Genomic DNA, 18,310 nt, shown 5'->3' with positions numbered 1-18,310 from the left:
ACAGTTTTCATTTCTAAAGGTGATGAGGTTAATATTGCTAGAAATAACAATTTAGCCCTTACCTGATTTAAAACATTTCACCAAAACTGTCATCCTGTGTGGTACTGATGAATGCCTGCAGGCCAGCTCGAGGCAAAACTGTGAAGTAGGCCAAGTTTATTTTTGACTTTCCTGACTGCCTCCCCAAGTGGTCACCTTCCATTCTTTTCAGGGCACCTGTCTCTCCTTCTTTTCCTTCACTCCCATGACCACCCTCCCTCAACTTTCAATACTATTTTTTTCTCATGTCCTTACTTTGTTTTTTTCCTGATAATGAAGGAATGATTTGGAAACCTCATTCATACTAAGGTACTAATGTCTTCTTTTATTGCCCTTCTTAGGGACACTTGCATTTTAAAAGGACCTCATGGAGAGGACCAACTTCAAACTCATGGAAGGGATTTTTGGTGGGCGACTTTTGAGCATTGGTAGAAAGGATGTTTTATCAGGGCGCACCTCTTGTAAACTTTTTATCTAGCCCAATTAGTAGTTAATGAATGGTTAATCCTTGAGTGGTTTGGTTTTTTCCAAACCAAAAGAGGACCTATGTTAAATATAACAAAATTTTTAAAAAATGATCAAACTTCCAATGTGATTATGGGGGTACTTTTAGTAACCATTCGCTGAAAAGGGGAAGACAGCATGACGTAGCAGTTACAGAACGTGCTGAAGGCAGATTGCCTGGCTCGAATTGTAGCTCCACTTCTTTCTAGCTGTGTAACCTTGGGCAAGTTTACCTGACCTCTCTGCACCCCAATTTTCTCATCCATAAAATAGAAACAATAATGATTATGAACCTCATGGGGTAGTTACAAGGATTAAACAAGTTAATGTGTAGATAGTATTTGAGAAGTGCTTGGCATATGGTAGGCATTCAATAAATGGTATTGATGATGATGGTGGTGATGATGATGACTGCAAACATTTGAATAGTAGAAGAGTATATCTGTGCAAGACCTATTATTTTTTCAGCCCATGATTTTTGGCGTGTATTTGGATTCCTGGATGACTCACACGCAGTAACGCACAGCCGCCCAGGGGTCTGCAACCATAGTTAGAGTTTGGATTAAAGCCACACCCTTGCTGGCCTCATTTTGCAGAGATAAGGAAAAGCTGAGGCAGCCAGAGTCAACGTAGGATTAGACTGTGGAGCTCCCAGAGTTCCCAAACCCGGGAGTTCTGTGAGATATATTCATCTTTCAGTTAAGGCTCCATTTATTTCCCTTGTGTTCAGGGGCTCAAGGAGGGAACCACTGTTTCCTTTACTTTATGAGTCATGGTTCTGTTCTGTCATTTCGGGAAGGGCCTCAGGCCCCTCAACAGTGTCACCACTGTGCAATTATCTTGAGTGAAGGCACACAGCAAAGCGCATTTCCTTTTTAATGTAGTTATAAATGTCGCATCACTTGGAGATTTAGGAATCCGATCAGGAATTCCATTTCCTAGTCAAATAGGGTATAATTAGAGTGGGACTCTGGGCCCATCCCTCACCAGGCACTGTAACTGGGGAAGAGGAAGCAAGGAGCTATTCTGCTTCCTTTGGATCTGAGGGGCATCTGGAAAAGGAGAGGCATCACCTAAGCTCAAAGCCATAGAACTGGTTTGCTTCCCCAGAGAAATGAGGCCTGCTCTCCAGAGAAATAACAAGTTAGAGTTTTCATTCATCCACAGAGCCCTTGCGCTGGGGTGGAGGTATGCGGCAGGAAAGACGGTGCACCTTGTCATTTTTGGTTTCTTCAAGACAGGCCAAGGAACAACCAAGTCATTTTAGAAACTTGTTCCTTAGGGATTAGCCCCTGATGAGATCCTATGTCCAATGTACAGGAGGCCTATAGAATGACTCTATGAATGAATGAATGAATGAATGAATGCTTGGCCACCTAAGCCTTTTGGAGGAAACTTCTGGCATCGTGCGTGGCCTTAGGACACGTTTATTATGCATCTTCCATGTATCAAACCCTGCTCCAGGGATAAAGTTGTGTGTCATTGTCTTCTGCTCTGCAGCTAGGGAAACAGACAAGGAACCAAAAATGACAAAACAGAAGGTCATTGTTTATCAAGGTCTGCCCCGAATTTATAAGAAGGGCTTCTATTTCTGCCTGGGCAAAAAGTAGAATCCTGGGTAATTTTCCAGAGTGGTTGATGCCCAGACTGGGTGAAGATGAAGAAGGGTTACCTGGGCAGGGAAGAAAGGAACAGCAGCCCAGGGGGAAGGAACATATTCTCCTTGTGCATGTGCAAGAAAGAAGGGGAGTGTGTCGTGTTGCAACACTTCCAATAGGGTGCACTTAAGGGTATGCAGAACACTGAGGCTGCAGAGGCTGGCAGGGGCCAGACCATCAAGGGACTCCTAGGCCAAGCAAAGGTGTATGGATGCTGGTCTAAATGCAGTTGTGTTGGATGTGAGTGGTCAAGAACTGAAAGTCTGTACATGGAAGTGTGACCTGATTGAACTTCCCTTTGACTAGGGCTACAGCATGCGTGTATTAGTCTGTTCTCACACTGCTAATAAAGACATGCCTGAGACTGCGTAATTTGTAAAGGAAAGAGGTTTAATTGACTCACCGTTACACACGGCTAGGGAGGCCTCACAATCATGGCAGAAGACAAAGGAGGAGCAAAGTCACATCTTACATGTCAGCAGGGAAGAAAGCATGTGCAGGGGAACTCTCCTTTACAAAACCATCATGAGATTTACTCACTATCATGCGAACATCATGGGAAAAACCCACCCCCATAATTGAATTACCTCCCACCTGGTCCCTTCCATGACACATGAGGATTATGGAAGCTACAATTCAAGATGAGATTTGGGTGGAGACACAGCTAAACCATATCAGTGGGTCATGGGTTGAGCATCGGGGAGACAGCCTGGAGGCAGGACAAAAAAACTAGGGGACCATTATCAGTAATTCAGGCAAGAAGAGCTGTGTGAGGACTAAAGTGAATCAAATTGTATTATTGTATTAGGGATATTTGTTAAATAAGTAGAATTTAGCTGTGCTAGTCACAAAAAAACGTAACTCTGTGAGATGATAGACTAACCCTCTCCACTACAGTAACCATTTTACCATCTTAGTGTGTCCTATAATATCATGTTGTAAGCCTCAGATAGATGGAATACATTTATTGAAAAACAAAAAGAAATGATGGAGGCCTGAACAAAGACAGTAGCAGCAGGGGTTGAGACTAGGGGAGGATTTTGAAAGAGATTTTGAAGTTGAATCAGCAGGATTTGACTGGATATGAAAGGGAGGCAGAGGGAGTTGTCTGGGCTGCCGTCTAGGTTTCTCCCGTGATGCACAGGTGGTCAAAGAGGGTGTTGTCATTCAATGAGGATAGTTTAGGAGTAGGAGCTGGTTTGGGTAATGGAGATAAGGTGCAAGGAGGGAAGAGAAGGATAAACATGATGACATCTCTGCAGAGTCCAGAAGAATACATATTTTCCATTAGTGACAATTGCCCCTCACCTGCCACCCCAGATGACTGCTGGGAAAACTTGGAGGTCTTTGGTACTTTTCCATTTTCTTCTCAGTCACTTCACTCTCAGCAAGCATATTTAGGTCTGGGGTAAGATACCATGCTAGGCATTAGAGATACCGTTATGAAGAAGGTATAGGTCTTGCTCCCATGGTGTTTGCATGCTGGTCTCTTTCCCATGCACACTCCTTGGCCTGCTTATCTGTGTGCACAGTCCCATGCCCCACTCCCAAAGTGATTTTCTTCTTAGTTATTGCCTCATTCCACATACAGTGATTGATGAGAAAGGCATAGGAGATTTGGCTGTTCTAAGTGAGTTTAGAGCTTTAACGGGAGATTCTAGAAGTTGAAGAACTCATTATCAGAAATGATTACTTCTGACAGTGGCATTTCCCCATCACGCCAGGCAGTGAGAGAAGTGGCTGTAGTCTGGGATAACTTCCTGTTGCTCCGACAGGCAGACTGCCTAGGTGGTAGCTGTTCTGCCACCCTGGAGAGTCCTTCCAGTTCCAACTCCTTGCTCATTCTGAAACCAGACTTCAGCATTCTTTATTAATAGTAAAAAGTTCTCCCACCTTTAGAATGAAAGACCGTTTCAATAGGTTTAGGAGTCCTGAGTGCTTCTAAAGCTCCAAAAATATAAATTCTGTCTCTGCTGATCAATTTAGCCACCCTCCAGCAGCAGTAAAAATTTAACAGAGCTGGAATCAGAACCACCTTCCCTCCAACTCTGCATTTTCTTTTCATAATTTCAGTGACAGACCTATTATTCAGGGACATTCAAAGGATTGCATTATCAGAAACAAATTCCACAGGCTCTCATTGTACCCCCGAAACCAAACAGACCAAGCAGAAGAGGTCTACAGAAAGAGGAAGAAAGAAATAGTTGGTTCTGTGTGAATGATGCCATTCCTCCCATGTATCGGTACTTGGGACAAGAGACACCCTCAGTATTGAGCAAACCTAGGGAGGCTCTTTTTACTTCTCTAACCAGGTGATGCAAGATGCTTCATTCAGGCCAAGAGCCAGAGAAAAAAATATAGAAAAAATGCAGACAAGGGAGGCATCTTTGCCTGGGTTCCCTTAGCCCAGCTACCCACGGAGTTGCAGAGGGGAAGAAATGCTAGAAATTTTCTGGTCTGAACTATAGTACTATATAAATATAGAATGGGGGAGATATAGCTTAATAGAAACTCATGTGAAATAAAATACAGGTATTGAGTTCAACTTGGGGGATATAGCAGAAGAATACTGAAAAATTGGGGGAGCAGTTGGAATCATGCAGGCTATGAAGTCAGGTGACAGGAACTGTAGCTCAGGTCACAAGGCCTGAAGAAGCTTGGAACATAGGAGTCTGGGGTGGGGCGGGGGGGGCAACAGAACAATCTTTTCACGCTTGAATAATTGTCCCATGGAATAAGAGCAGGCATCAAACCCTTTGGCCTTAAAATCTAGTCCATTGCTTTGTTTTACTTTTGAAAAATCTAAAGCCCAGAGGGTTAAACAACTTTGTCAAGAGCAGTCCTGAACACTGGTATCCTGTCTTATCAGAGGCCACTTATCAGATACCACTGACTCCATAACTGTGTATACAACTGCATGTAATAATTAAATCACCATATGTGTATATATGTGTATGTCTATATAAGTGTGTATATAAATACATATACATGTATAATTATATACACAATATAATATATAATTATATATACAATATAATTGTTATTGTGTACATATAATCATATGTATATATAATTATACATAATATAATTTATATATTATATAATATACAATATGTAATTATATGTTAATATCATATATAATTATATAATGTATATTGTAGATTATATGCAATATAATTTATAGACTGTATTAATATTGTAATATATTCAATATATAAATAATTGTGTATATATTCTATAATATTATAGACTATACAATTTTCAAATATATATTTATTTGAATGCCTACCATGTAGAAAGTCCTGTGCTAGATGCCAAAGGGATTTCAAACCGTATACATTGACCTCTGCCTGCAAAAACTTCTAGTCTTATCAGGGGAGTGAAGACTGAGGCCCCCAAGGGATGAGCTGGCTCACCAGGCAAGACAATGGCCGTCTGAAGGGAGATGTAAGTAAGAGATGCTCTTACAAGTCTAGAGATGAGGGAGATCACTTTGGTGGAATGCTAGGTTATAAAGAGATGTTTATAAACTTTAGGATATGAGTTCATTTCTAGCTTGCTATCATCTATGTCTTTTCCTTCCATTAGCTCGTAGCTCCTTCCAGAGCTGGAACCCTGCCCTATGCTTTTTCTCTTATCTCCGTAGAGTACCAAATATCAGCCATACACAAGTGCTTAGCATAACTTAAATAGAAAACTATAAGGAGTTGACTTTTTGAAATGGAGATTTCCTCTTTCATAAAGCTCATCTGTTCAGATAAGAGCCCATTTCCGGGGATGGTTGGAGACCACGAGTCTGGGACACAACTGGGACCCTGTTCTCACCTAGGTTTTCTCCCTCTGGCTGAAAGCTGACAGACATTTGTGAGGCCTCAAGCTATCAGGGCAGTCTTGGGGATTATCTGGTATCTTATTCGGCTCTATGTATTTCCAACAAAAAAAATGGGAGGGAGGAAAATGACGTTCCAAATCAAAGTAAGCCCCTTTGATAGTGTTTTGATGTTTCAGCTGAGAATTATACTGGGGAGAACTGTATTTTTCTGGGGTTGTCAAGGCTCCCCAGCTAACCTCCACAGTTGCCGTTTTAAGGGACGAGGAGTTTTACCTAACCCATGGGGAAGGTCCCTGGAACTAAAGCAGTCACCATGTTTTCTGAGGGTGAACCAGGTACAAGATTCTGTGCTAGCAGGGTGGTATAGAGAAAAGGACATAGAACTAGGAGTCAGGAACCCTCAGGTTTTAAACATTTATTTAAAAAAATTTTTTTTTGAGAGACAGGGTCTAGCTCTGTTGTCCAGACTGGAGTGCAGTGGCATGATCATAACTTACTGTAGCCTCAAACTCCTGGGTTCAAGAGATTCTCCTGTCTCAGCCTCCCAAGTAGCTGGAACTACAGGTATGCATCAGCATGCCCGACTAAATTTTTTTCTTTCTCTTTCTTTCTTTCTTTTTTTTTTTTTTTTTTTTTTGTGTAGAGACAGGGGTTATGTCTTGCTATGTTGCCCAGGCTGGTCTCCAACTCTTGGCCTCAAGCAATCCTTCCACCTTGGCCTCCCAAAACCCTGAGATTACAGGCATGAGCCATCCCGCCTGGCCTTGTTTTAAATGAGATGTTTCAACTAGGTGGCCTCTGAAGTTTCTTCTAGTTTAACAATTTTGTTCCATAGGAGAAACAAGTATTTAACTATTCACTCAATTCAGACCCTGCAGAGTTGAGACAATGTGCTCAGGCTTGAAGGGAGAAGAGCCCTGGGAACTTTCGCATTAGAATAAGCTCTAGTTTTCACATAGGTTTCACGGAGGGAAATCCTGAGCTCCAGGAGGTTACCACTGCACTGAGGTAGACCATGCACCACGCACTCATCAGTGACATGTCCTGTAGTTCATTCCATGCAAAAATCTGCAAAGAGGCCTGTGAACAGCAGAAGAGCGTGGAAAATTCTCATTAAGCTCTATGGTGCCAAGGAAGGAGGAGGCCCTAGCTGGGGAGGTAGGCGAGCCCGCAGGAACGAAGGCTGTTCCGGTTTTCACAGCTGCTCTGCACCTTGGCCACTCCAAACTCCTCACTTTACTGTCAAGGAAACGAGATATGTGCAGAATCTCCAATTTAGGCTGAAGTCGAGTTAGACAAGCCTTTCAGTTTTTGTTGCCAGAATGACTTTGCCATATATGTCACTCTAAAGCCGCCTGAGGAGGGGGCTGGGGTTAGACTCTGCCCCAGTGACCTAAGACAGCAGTTAATCTCCATGGAGCCTCTCCATAAGGGGGATAGGCCCCAAGGGGACATTGTGTCCATTTACTAATGACTGTAAAAGGCTGTGAAAATCCCAAGTACTGGTGGAATGCTGCTCACAGCAAAGGGAGAAGGAAAACAATGTAGTTCCAGGACTCTGCAGCCTGAAGACTTTCTCTTTGCTGGGAGGAGCAGTGTGGACACTCTAAGTGCCCTAAATACACTGACTTGATCACTATGCATTATGTACATCTGATAGAATTGCACATGTACTCCATACATTTGTACCAATAAAAAACCTTAAAGAATACAGGTTGCTGGAGGTAGATTTTAAATGTCTAGTTTTCCAATGGGAAGGCATGTGAGAACCATTGCATGTTCCCAGATGGGGCTTGTGCTTCCCCCTGCGTGTTTCCGGTGCTCTCTGTGCTCACCTCTGTCTAGGGACTCAGTACATCATCCTCTTACAATTTTCCCCCAGTGTTCATGCTCACTGGACAGGGAGTTCCCTGAGGACGGGAACATGGTTTTCTATTTCCAGCCTCTAGCACAGTGCTTCAGGTAATAGATACTCAAGTAATTGTTTGTTGACTGAAGAAGTGATCCATTATTAAGCCACAGCATGGACTAAAATGGACGAGAACCCTGGGCCATCTTAGGAATGGGAATGGTTCCCTTTGAACATCCACATTGCATTTCCACGTGTTTATCAGGGTGTCATAAATAATGAATTAGCGAGAGCAGGAGGTTTTATATAGCAGGGGAGGAGGAGGAGCAGCACCTGTAGGGGCAGGTATGGGTGTGGGTCGGGCTCTCTGACAGCAGCCAGTGGTCCAGGACTGCTGAGGAACCCTTCTGGTCAGTCTGCGTGTCTTTCACACTCCTCCGTAGCTTAGGGCACAGACTAGGGGCTCAGATGGAGGAGGAGTCATGGTTCCCATTGCACCTTCTTTTCTGGACTCCTTTGCTAATCTGTGGTACTATCATCCCATTCCCCAAAAAGAGTCAGACGGGAAAGATGAGCAGAAAGGAGGGAGAGCACAGCTGGGCATAGTGGCTCACGCCTGTAATCGCAGCGCTTTGGGAGGCCGAGGTGGGCAGATCACTTGAGGCCAGGAGTTCGAGACCAGCCTGACGAACGTGGCAAAACCCTGTCTCTACTAAAAATACAAAAATTAGCCAGGCATGGTGGCAGGCACCTGTAATCCCAGCTACTCAGGAGGCTGAGGCAGGAGAATCACTTGAACCCGGGAGGCGGAGGTTGCAGTGAACCAAGATTGCTCCACTGCACTCCAGCCTGGGCAGCAGAGCAAGACCCTGTCTCGAAAAAAAAAAAAGATGGGGGAGCAGCAATCACTTTGGGGCTTGGGGGTGGGGAGGCCCCAGGGACTGCAGAGGAGTAGCCACTACTGCTGCCATTAGTTGCCTTCCACTCTCCATACTCATGAGATTTGATGTCATACTCCCAATGCATGAAAATATGTTTTAGACATAGAGTGCCCTATCAATAAAAAGGATCCTTATAATTGTTATTAAATCTTGCCAGAGTGAAATATTTCCTCTAGGATGAAGTTGTTTGGCACATGGGAAAAATAATCCCTGCTGTCAGCCTTGCAAATAGCTAGCAAACATTTACTAGTCTACCGTGTTTTGGGGGAAGGGGGAGGCACTGGTGGCTGGGGGTCTGTCTCTGTATATACATATTCCACATGCCTTCCCTCAAGAGGCACATGGAAAATGCAATGAATGAAATCATTCTTGCATTCACCTGGTTTAAATCATTATTTGCCAGATCAAGTGGGTGGGTTGCCTATTTAAGATCTTTGAGGAATCAAGCAGAAATCAAAGTTTTCATTTTGGATGGCCCACTAAGAAGATGACTGCTCCAAGCCTTGGTTTTGTGGTTTTTTTTTTATTTTTTTTTTTAATTTTTTCATTTTTATTTTTTGGTAAAATGAAGATGGAAGGAAATGATCACAGAGGTTGCTTTCTATCTCTGGTAACTGATGAACCTCTATGGCTAATAATGTTACATATCTCTGGGATGTGGCAGGAAATAACTAAGACTAAGTGAGAACTATTCAGAGATCCTGGAAAGAAAAGTGTCAAAGGAACAAGTCTCCTGCATGGGGTCTGCCCTGAGTTCCAGCCTTGACTCTTCCACTTGCTATCTATGGGGATATAGGCAAGTCACGTCAACTCCCTGTCCTTGGTTTCTGCATCAGTAAAATGCGCAGCTAGTAATTCCTACCTCAGAAGACTACTGTGAGGCTCAGAAGAGGTATATGAAAAACTGTTGTGTAAAATACTCTTCAAACATAAGTCATAGCAACCCTGGTTCTGCCACTAGCTTTAGTAGAATGTAGGGGCTGCCCGTATCTCTTTTTCCTTAAGGTCTCTTCCAGTTCTAATAGTCTATTCTTTCATCATGATATTGCCAAGTGTTTTTGTGAAATACCCTATTGGCTAGCTATGTGTTTATAATCAACAGGTGTATAATATATTGGAAGGGGCTTAGATATCATTTGCTCCAGCCTACTAAGTCATGCAAAAATTCTCTTTATGGCACCCTTGACAATGGGTTCTTTATCATGATGGGGAAATCATGCCTAACAAGGCAGTCTGTTTTGATTTTGAGCAGTATCATACTTTCACAGGTTTTTCTCATATTGAATCAGATCTGCTCCCTGGTAAATCCTACCTACTGGCCCTCATTTCTGTTCTCTGGAACTGTGAACACTCCAAAGCAATCAGTAATCAGCTTTATCTCAAACTCCTCTCTTTGTTAATTATTCTTTCCCTGATTCACAGATAAGGAGAAAGAACAAAAGTTAAGTGATTTGTCCCTGGTCACATAGAGGGACACATTAGAGTATGATGGGAACTTGGAGCTGTAGGGGTTTGAGGTTGTTTCTTAACCCTCCTGAGCCACACAGAAATAGTCTCTGAACTTATGCAGAGAAGCCCCTGTTCCATTTTACCAATAAGCACAATTCATTGCTTTGTTTTAGAGTCTTCTGTTTAGCCAAATGTTTTCATTACATTAATTGTAAAAGGTTTTTTGGGCTGACCCAGACTGACTCACAATCACACTAGTGCACACACAAACACACACGGACGCAAACACAAATGCAAAACACACACACATACACACGCACACGGAGACCCAATATGTAACCAGAGTGATGTGTCAGGAAACTCTAGGAAAAGCTGTCACATGTTAAGTTTTTTCCATTAAGCTTGAAACAATGTCAGGAAAATAGATTATATGTAAACATAGAAGAAATATCTCTAAGTTTTAAAGCAATGTTCTCAACTCAAGTAAATCTAGTGATGTAAAAGAAAGGAACTAAGAAAAGAAGATCACAGAATGGAAAAGTTTGCAGAATTTGAGCTTTGTTTGGATAGGATATGGAATATCATCCTTGGTTGCTGATTTTTTAGTTTTTGATTTTTGTCTTGAGCATGAAGTTACCACATAGAAAAATGCACAGTAGTGAAGTTTGTGTAGAACAACAGGGAAAAGGGAGAGACTGTCCCATTTCCTAACTGTCCATGGAGGGGTTCCCAGGTCTCTGGGAAGCTCAGCTGTAAGAGGAAGAAGAGCAACAGTCCTTGACTCCTTGACGTGAATGGTGAGCTTTGTGCTTTGGAAGATTTTGTAGCATCCTAGAGAGAGAGGTGTGCAGGTGACTTAGGAACCCCTGTCCTTCTCCCAATACCAGCCATATTTTCCAAGTAATGAAATTGAGGCCCCCCACATCACAGGGACTTGTGACCCACCATTCAGCAGAGCCAAGACTAGAATCCAGCCCTGGAGTCTTAGTCCAGGGTTCTTTTTACTGCATCCCTGAGCAGAGTATTTGACTTCCTTCTTACTGCCCGGAAGACGGACACCCTAAAAACAGTGGTCCCTTCCATCCTTATGAAAGCATGAAGAATTATGCCTTTCATTAAGGCACAAAGAAAATCTTATCATGATTTCTGTCAATGATCATAGCTCAAAGTCACGATTGTTTCAGATGTATTTCTCATATTTAGACTTAGTATCTTACACGGTTAAGGTATTTGTCTTCTATATTGGCTGTAAATGAAGGAAGAATTTTAACAGCTGTCCAACTAGAGCAAGAAAAAAACTGAAAGACAAAAAAAAAACTAGGCTTTTTTTTTTTCAAAGTAAGAGAGGAAAAATAACATTAACACAAAGGAACATTCTTACTAAGAATAGGTGGAGAAAGGCATCTGAAAAATAATACCTCAAGATGCATTGAAACATTTTAGGGAATTAGGGAATTCTGATCTCTTGAAAAAAAAGAAAATTAATATTAAAGACAAGCTGTGAGTTTCCATCTGGCCTTGCTGCTTTCCACTAACGCTTCCATGACGGAATTCATCTGTCCATCAACTGTCAAAAATTCTCCTGTCAGTAAATCCCACGACACCCCAGCGAGCCCACCCTGCTCAAAATATTCCATGCCACAAACTATTCCGAATTCTGAATCCTTTTTTTCAGATCTCTGTACTATAAGACATAAAAGTTACTGCTTTTTTTCTTCCTTTTTTTCTCTTTCTTTTCCCATCATCTTTTTCACCCCCACACTCTGTAGTATGGAGGTAAAGCGAACTTGGGTGGAAAATTTGGGGAGCCCTCAGCTATTTGAAGATTATGTTCCCACCAAGTCTCTTCTAAGCTTTTTCACTGGAGTCTGACAACAGACAGCCCACATCTGTTTTAAAACACCAAGTGCTTGTGAAGTGTGAACTCCCCACTGTTTAATGTAACTACATGACTATTTAATGTACACAGTGGTAGAGCCACTCAGAATGCCAAACTGTTGTGACATGCTTGAAGGACATATATAAACATAATATACTGTGGTTTATTGTGACAAAGAACATCTATGCCACAAATAGGAAGATCTGTTTGCTTACCAGTGTAGTCAAATGAGGAAGGAAAAACGTGTACAGTACCCTCTCCCCCGCCCCATCGCCCATGTCAATAGTGAAATTGATACCAGATTGATGAAACAATAAATCCAGAATAGGCATTTTATAATGTTCTATGGTAATAATTTTAAGCCTAGGATTTTGAAATGAGTCATTCATTAAATTAATCTGAATATATAATGCAGAGAGAATAGAGGGGAGATAGAAAGTCACTACAGGGAGGGCTGCTGAGAGTTTGGCCTCTTCTAGAAACTTTGTTCCCTTGTATGGGTGTCGGGGACATTTTTGGATGGTAGAGACTTGGGTAACATGTTGGTGCTGCTTTTGGCCAACTTGGAGATCGTAATTTTCTGTACATTGTTACCCATGGAAAAACATCCACGGTTGCTTCTTGTGTTAATAAATGAAGAGAAAAGACATCATGGCTTTGCAAACACATTTCATTTTTAATATTTCTCCCAAAGGTGGATTCTTATACCTTCTGACATCTCATTAATCAATCGATCAGAATGTGTTCTCTTACATCTCATTGTTACAATTCTAATTAACCTTTGCTAGTTAAATACTTACCAAAAATCAGCTCCAATTGTAATCCCGTTTCCTCTAACCCAAGCATTTCAATAAAAGCTTTTCTTTTTATCGGTCTTTAATAGGAATTAAGTGGAGAAGAACTATACTGTGTGTGGTATCTGTTGCTTTTTAAGGGATTTTGAAATTCTAGAATAAAATCTTTAGGCATGAAACACAGATGAAGATGATACTTTTAGTAAGCCTCCAGAGTGTAGACAAGGCTATTCTTATATATACTTTTAGGAAAGTATTAACCTTTTTTAAATTCACAGTTATCATTTCTCAGAAAATAACTACTTCCATGGAAGACATAACATCCCAAAACAAAACAACAACAACAACGAAACCCTCTTGTAAATGATACTAAGAAAGAGAACAGAGATCTAGTTCTATAATAAAATTTAAACTGCTATTGTTGTTGGCATTTAAGTTATACTGTTATGGTACAGACTAATACTCAACTTCATCCAATATTTCTAGATTGAAAATACCAGTGCAAAGTCCTGGTCATTAGAAAAACTTACTCCTGCCTCTGATTATTACAATTTGGGGTTCCCATGGTTTGGATATTGCTATATCCTGTGGCTCACATAATTTCCCATAATAATTTAGCAGTCACTAAGGGAACAAATCTGAGAAGGCCTTTATAAAAAGTGGTGCCTGCTTTCCTGTTTGCCTTAGAACTGCAGCCCACGTCCTGGAGCATCGGGGGTGCTAAGGACTTTTCTTATAATGGAAATTTTAAAAGGACAGTTTAAGGAAAGCTCAATAGAGGAGCCAAAGATAAATTCAGCAATACAGCAGTGAGGAGCAAAACCACTTTTGCAGAGCAGGGAGAGTTTTAGTATAATGTCTTTTGGGATCAGATTGTTGCTTTAAAAATGTGGTGAATTAGCCTGTTTTGCTTCCACATGATTTCATAGCATACTCTTCTCTACTCCTCTGCTGCCTCTAACCACACTGAACACTGCCATTCCTGAGCAACACTTCACATCGGCTCCTAATGCGCAGAAGTTTCTGGTTACACGGCTGCAATTTCTGTCTAACGTTACCACCCTTCCACAGCCGAGCGGACTTGAACGGGCTTTTATTTTAATTTCCTTTCTCCCACCGGTCGCAACTTTGGAAAGCCACGCAAGCCTTGCCACACAAACAGGGTTAGTGCCTCTTTAAGGAATATTTAAATTGCATTTCCTACTGTCAGTTAAATCTCATCAATCATGTTTTTAATTAAAAAGAAGGACATCTACATCCCACTTTCGACTCAAAGTGCATAATGAAATCATAGATTGGGGCAGGGCTGGAGAGTTTCAGCTTTGCTGGGTGCATTCAGCAGAGATGCGGGGAAGGTCAGGAACACTGGTGCATATGCAAGTGGCAAACAAATAACACTCCTGATAGGGCCGGGTGACATGTGTCAACCCTTGTCATTGAGAAACAAGAAAGGCAATGTGCCCAGACAAAGGGTAGGGTGGAATCCCTACACACTGGCAGAACCTGACCCACGCGCAAGGGCTTTGTGTAGCAGATGCCGTTTCTCATTGTTCTGTGCCTCCCTCCCCAGTACCCCTGACAACAGCCACTGCCGCTGGCATTCCACCCTGACATCTGTTCAGCTTTATTGATGCGGCCCTGGAGGAATTCCCAGTGTAAACAGGGAATTCTCTAAGGGAACCCCATGTTGTAAAGGGATGAGCTGCATAATGCAAAGATTTAACCACTATTTAAAGGTGTGACACTTGATTGAAAGTGACTTGCTTTTCCCCCCCTTTCCAATCCCACCTCCCTCTCCATCCTTAACTGTATTTGGCACCAACTGGCTGCAGCAACACCCCCACTTCCCCCTCCATCGCTTTGTTTTCCTGATGCATAACTGTTAGGAAGAATGAAGGATGGGGGGCCTTGGGTACCACCATCCAAAAAAGCCACTTAAAAAAAATTTCTGGGTTACAGTCAATTGAGTCTAGTTGTCGCGTTGGGATCCTGCCCGCTGCCCACCCACACTCCTGGCGAGAAACAGCTTGCAAGTCGCTTGGTCCTGTGGCTGAAGCTAATGGGGTGGGCTTGGTGCTCCTTGCTAGAAGCAACTGCGGCAGTTCGCAGTCCCTGAGCAAAGCCTGGTGGTACTAGTTCTGGCAGTGCTAGAACGTAGGGGATTTGCCTTTGGGATTTTGTGTTTTTGGCAATGGCGCCGTAGGATATTAATAAGGATTTTTTCAAAAAGCAGACCTGATGGGATACGGGATGCATACGTCATTGCCCCGGCAAACGTACGTGTGCTCTAAGGCACCTCTGAAGTGTCACACTCTCACTCAACTTCCTGGCCGATGTTCAAGTACAGGGAGTGTCGTGCGAGCTCCAGCCATGCACATTGTGTCACTTTGGTTGAGCATGCAGAGACCGGTGAATAGGGCCCTATGCAGCAGGACCGCCTCTATTAGCAGTAAACTCGACTTGTGATACGACATGGACAGAGTCTATTTTGTGAGTCCATGGGCTGAATTTGGATTCGTGTGCTTCCAACTCTCTTCCCTTCCAAATGACTGGTGGAGAGACAAAATTTGAAAACGGCAATGATGTCTTCCTGCAGTGTTTCAGAATAAATGAGGTTGTGGGTACCACAATAAGGGCAAAATAAAATAGCAGAATTATCAGAGGATGAAGTCAAAAGTCATAAAGGGAAATCCGTCTTTCTAAAGGCCTGAAGTATTGCTGACCTATGTTTTCAGAGAACAGATATCAAAAACAAGATTGGTGTGTGTGTGTGTGTGTGTGTGTGTGTGTGTGTGTGTGTGTGTGTGTGTGTATGCACATGAAGTCAACAATAAGCAGCAGCCTGGTCCTTCACCTGGAGTCCTAAGATTTGCTCTTAGCTGACCATTCTTTTTCCCTCAAAGGGAGGTGCACTTCCATCATGTAAGGCAGTGAAGCTTTAAGTCAAGAAGCCAGCACACCATTCAGGAATGCAGACTTTCCTTCCCATTGCCACAGATTGAATTTTTACTTAAAACAACCAAAACCCTCTAGAGAGATTTTATCTTTAAAATTAATTTATGTATTTTCTTCTGACCCAAACAATGTATGGTCATTTTAGAAAATTTAGAAAATATGGACAAATAAAATGAAAATGGCCCAGTAACTTACCGCTCAGAAATAATTGGTAATTATTCCAGTTTTGTCTCTTATCTCTCTCTGTATTTAAACAAAAATGTGATAATCTTATGTTTACTGTTTCGTATTTTTTTATACTAGACTATCTCTTGGTATTATTAGATGTTATTCTATAACATAATTTAAATAATTATGTAGTATTTCTTTGTATATCATAGTCAATTATCCATTTGGGGACAAATTTGTTTTCCACCATCGTATTTATTATAAACAATGCTGCAAGGAACATCTTTTGTAGATAAAGCTTTGGGTATATCCATGACTCTTTTTTTGGACAAATCCTTAAAATAGAATTGCGGGGTCAAAGGCTGTATGCATTTTTAAGACTTTTGATCTATATCGCCATACAGCCAGAAAGATTGAACTAATTTATACTCCCACCAGCTGTGGATCAGAGTTCCCAAAATGGAAGTCTTTAGGGCATATTCCTGTGTGTCCCCATAAGGTGGAAGTCTGTGTGGTGAAGCTACGGTCCCTTTTCCGTAGATTCGTGGCAGCATGTCTAATTAATATGTCCATTCTTAATGCTTTCCCATCTGTATTTCTCTGCATGCAGTGACTGAAAAATACCATCAACAGCTCAGCGCTGATAGATGGTTCAGAGTCCAGCAATGTCCTACTTTCCTTCCTGTCCACTTTAAAATGAAAAATAAGTTAACTTTGACATTTTTAGCAGTCACAGATTTAAAGCAAACTGGAAATAGAATCCAGGCCCAGTTCTAAAAAGGACACGCGAACGCTCCAGCATGCCTACGAGACCTGTTGGAAGGGGGAGAAAACAAAACAACTCACAACGTTTCCAGTGAATGCACTTCCATCAGAACGTGCTACTGATGGGCTGCCCCTTTAAGCACAGTTTGCCTTCACTGAGTTTGAATATACCTTTTGGTATTCAAATAATTTTGCAACAGTGGATACAGACCTTCTTTATGTGTTATTGGTCTGGGAACAGCAACAGATTAAAAAAAATATTACCAGGTCAAATAACAGCTGTTATTATTAAGTTCAGCTTTTATTATCAATTTTGCCAGTAGATTCTGGCAGTAAAAAAAAAAAGTCTGCTTCTGAGCTTTTTACTAATCAGTACTCTCATTTTGCTAATATTCTAACGACTGTCAATTTACTTCAGTGCTGCCATTTGCAGAATTTTCCAATTAGCGGCAAACCTGTTCCACCTTCTCCTGTAATTACGGGGGACTCAGTTCAGATCAGCTGCGGCCAGACAGCATATGATGTAGTTGCCAAAATCTGTGCAATGTTGTTTTTAACCTTTGCATGTGCTGGCACAGTTTTAACATCTCTGTTTGTAGGCAGGAGGCTTCTGCCGTAGTGGTAAGTGTCAAAATATCAAAATTATTTTTAATAAACACACAACGAGGATGAAAACACAAATAGGAGCATATTTGGGTTTTGGATCAATTTAATGTCTGCTCCAGATTCAGTAGCATCCCGTACGCTGCCCGTTCTTTTTTTTTTTTTTAATCAAGAGACTTTTGATGAGGAACAATTGAGAGTTGCTGAATTGCATCAATTTCAACCTGTTTCCTTTCCTAGTTAAAAAAATGGTTGAAGAGTCTGAAAATTTAGAATGGAGGGGTCCTAATGATCACTTATCATAAACCTCTCATTTTTATAAATGAGGAAACTAAGGCTTAGAATGGAGGAAGGACTTACCTAAGGTCGCACAGCTAGTTATGTGCAGTTCTGGGACTAGAACCCAGGTCTTCTGCCTCCAGTCCAAGGTTTGTTCCACTACATCATACATTTTCCCCCTTCTCCTGGTGGCTTCTCAATATGGCAGAAGACAGAGCAGGGAAGCCTCACCCAGATCCCTTGTTTCATAGAATGCCTTGCTAGCAAGATCAAAGCCAATCAAACTCTCTGAAAGCTGCCTAAACAGCTGACATTGCAGTAATAACAATAGTGCAGCAATAACTATTATTGCTACATGAAAAAAATATATTTAATAATAAGCTCATTGATTTTTAACAACATCTCTGTGTTGCCTAATTGATGGGAAGTTGTATGTTTGTGTAGCCGATGGGCGTTATGAATTAAATATGGCCGTCTTTCCTTGAGGCGTGCATGTCAATGGACGAAAGATGGAAGATCTACATTTCCCCCAAGCAAAATAGTCCCCTTGTACCAAAGCAGGGAAGACTGAAATGCGAACAAAAATAAAAACCAT

General features: G+C 41.8%; 1 protein-coding gene across 1 annotated transcript in view, besides 1 other annotated feature; it reads left to right on the top strand.

Annotated features, from left to right (window-relative positions):
- Positions 1–18,310, top strand: part of EBF2 (EBF transcription factor 2) — a 203,689-nt gene that overhangs the window by 95,432 nt on the left and 89,947 nt on the right. The gene's annotated exons all lie outside the window — the stretch shown is intronic.
- Positions 7,250–7,760: an enhancer, noted in NCBI's record as "NANOG hESC enhancer chr8:25799738-25800248 (GRCh37/hg19 assembly coordinates)". NCBI's record gives its function as "activates a minimal SCP1, AML or CMV promoter by ChIP-STARR-seq in naive H9 embryonic stem cells {active_cell/tissue: H9 hESC(naive)}" and the evidence as "EXISTENCE:reporter gene assay evidence [ECO:0000049][PMID:30033119]".

Source organism: Homo sapiens, chromosome 8 (assembly GCF_000001405.40).
Source record: "Homo sapiens chromosome 8, GRCh38.p14 Primary Assembly".
Taxonomy (NCBI): domain Eukaryota; kingdom Metazoa; phylum Chordata; class Mammalia; order Primates; family Hominidae; genus Homo; species Homo sapiens.
Note: the sequence above shows the minus strand (reverse complement) of the source record. Positions and strands in the feature narration are given on the sequence as shown.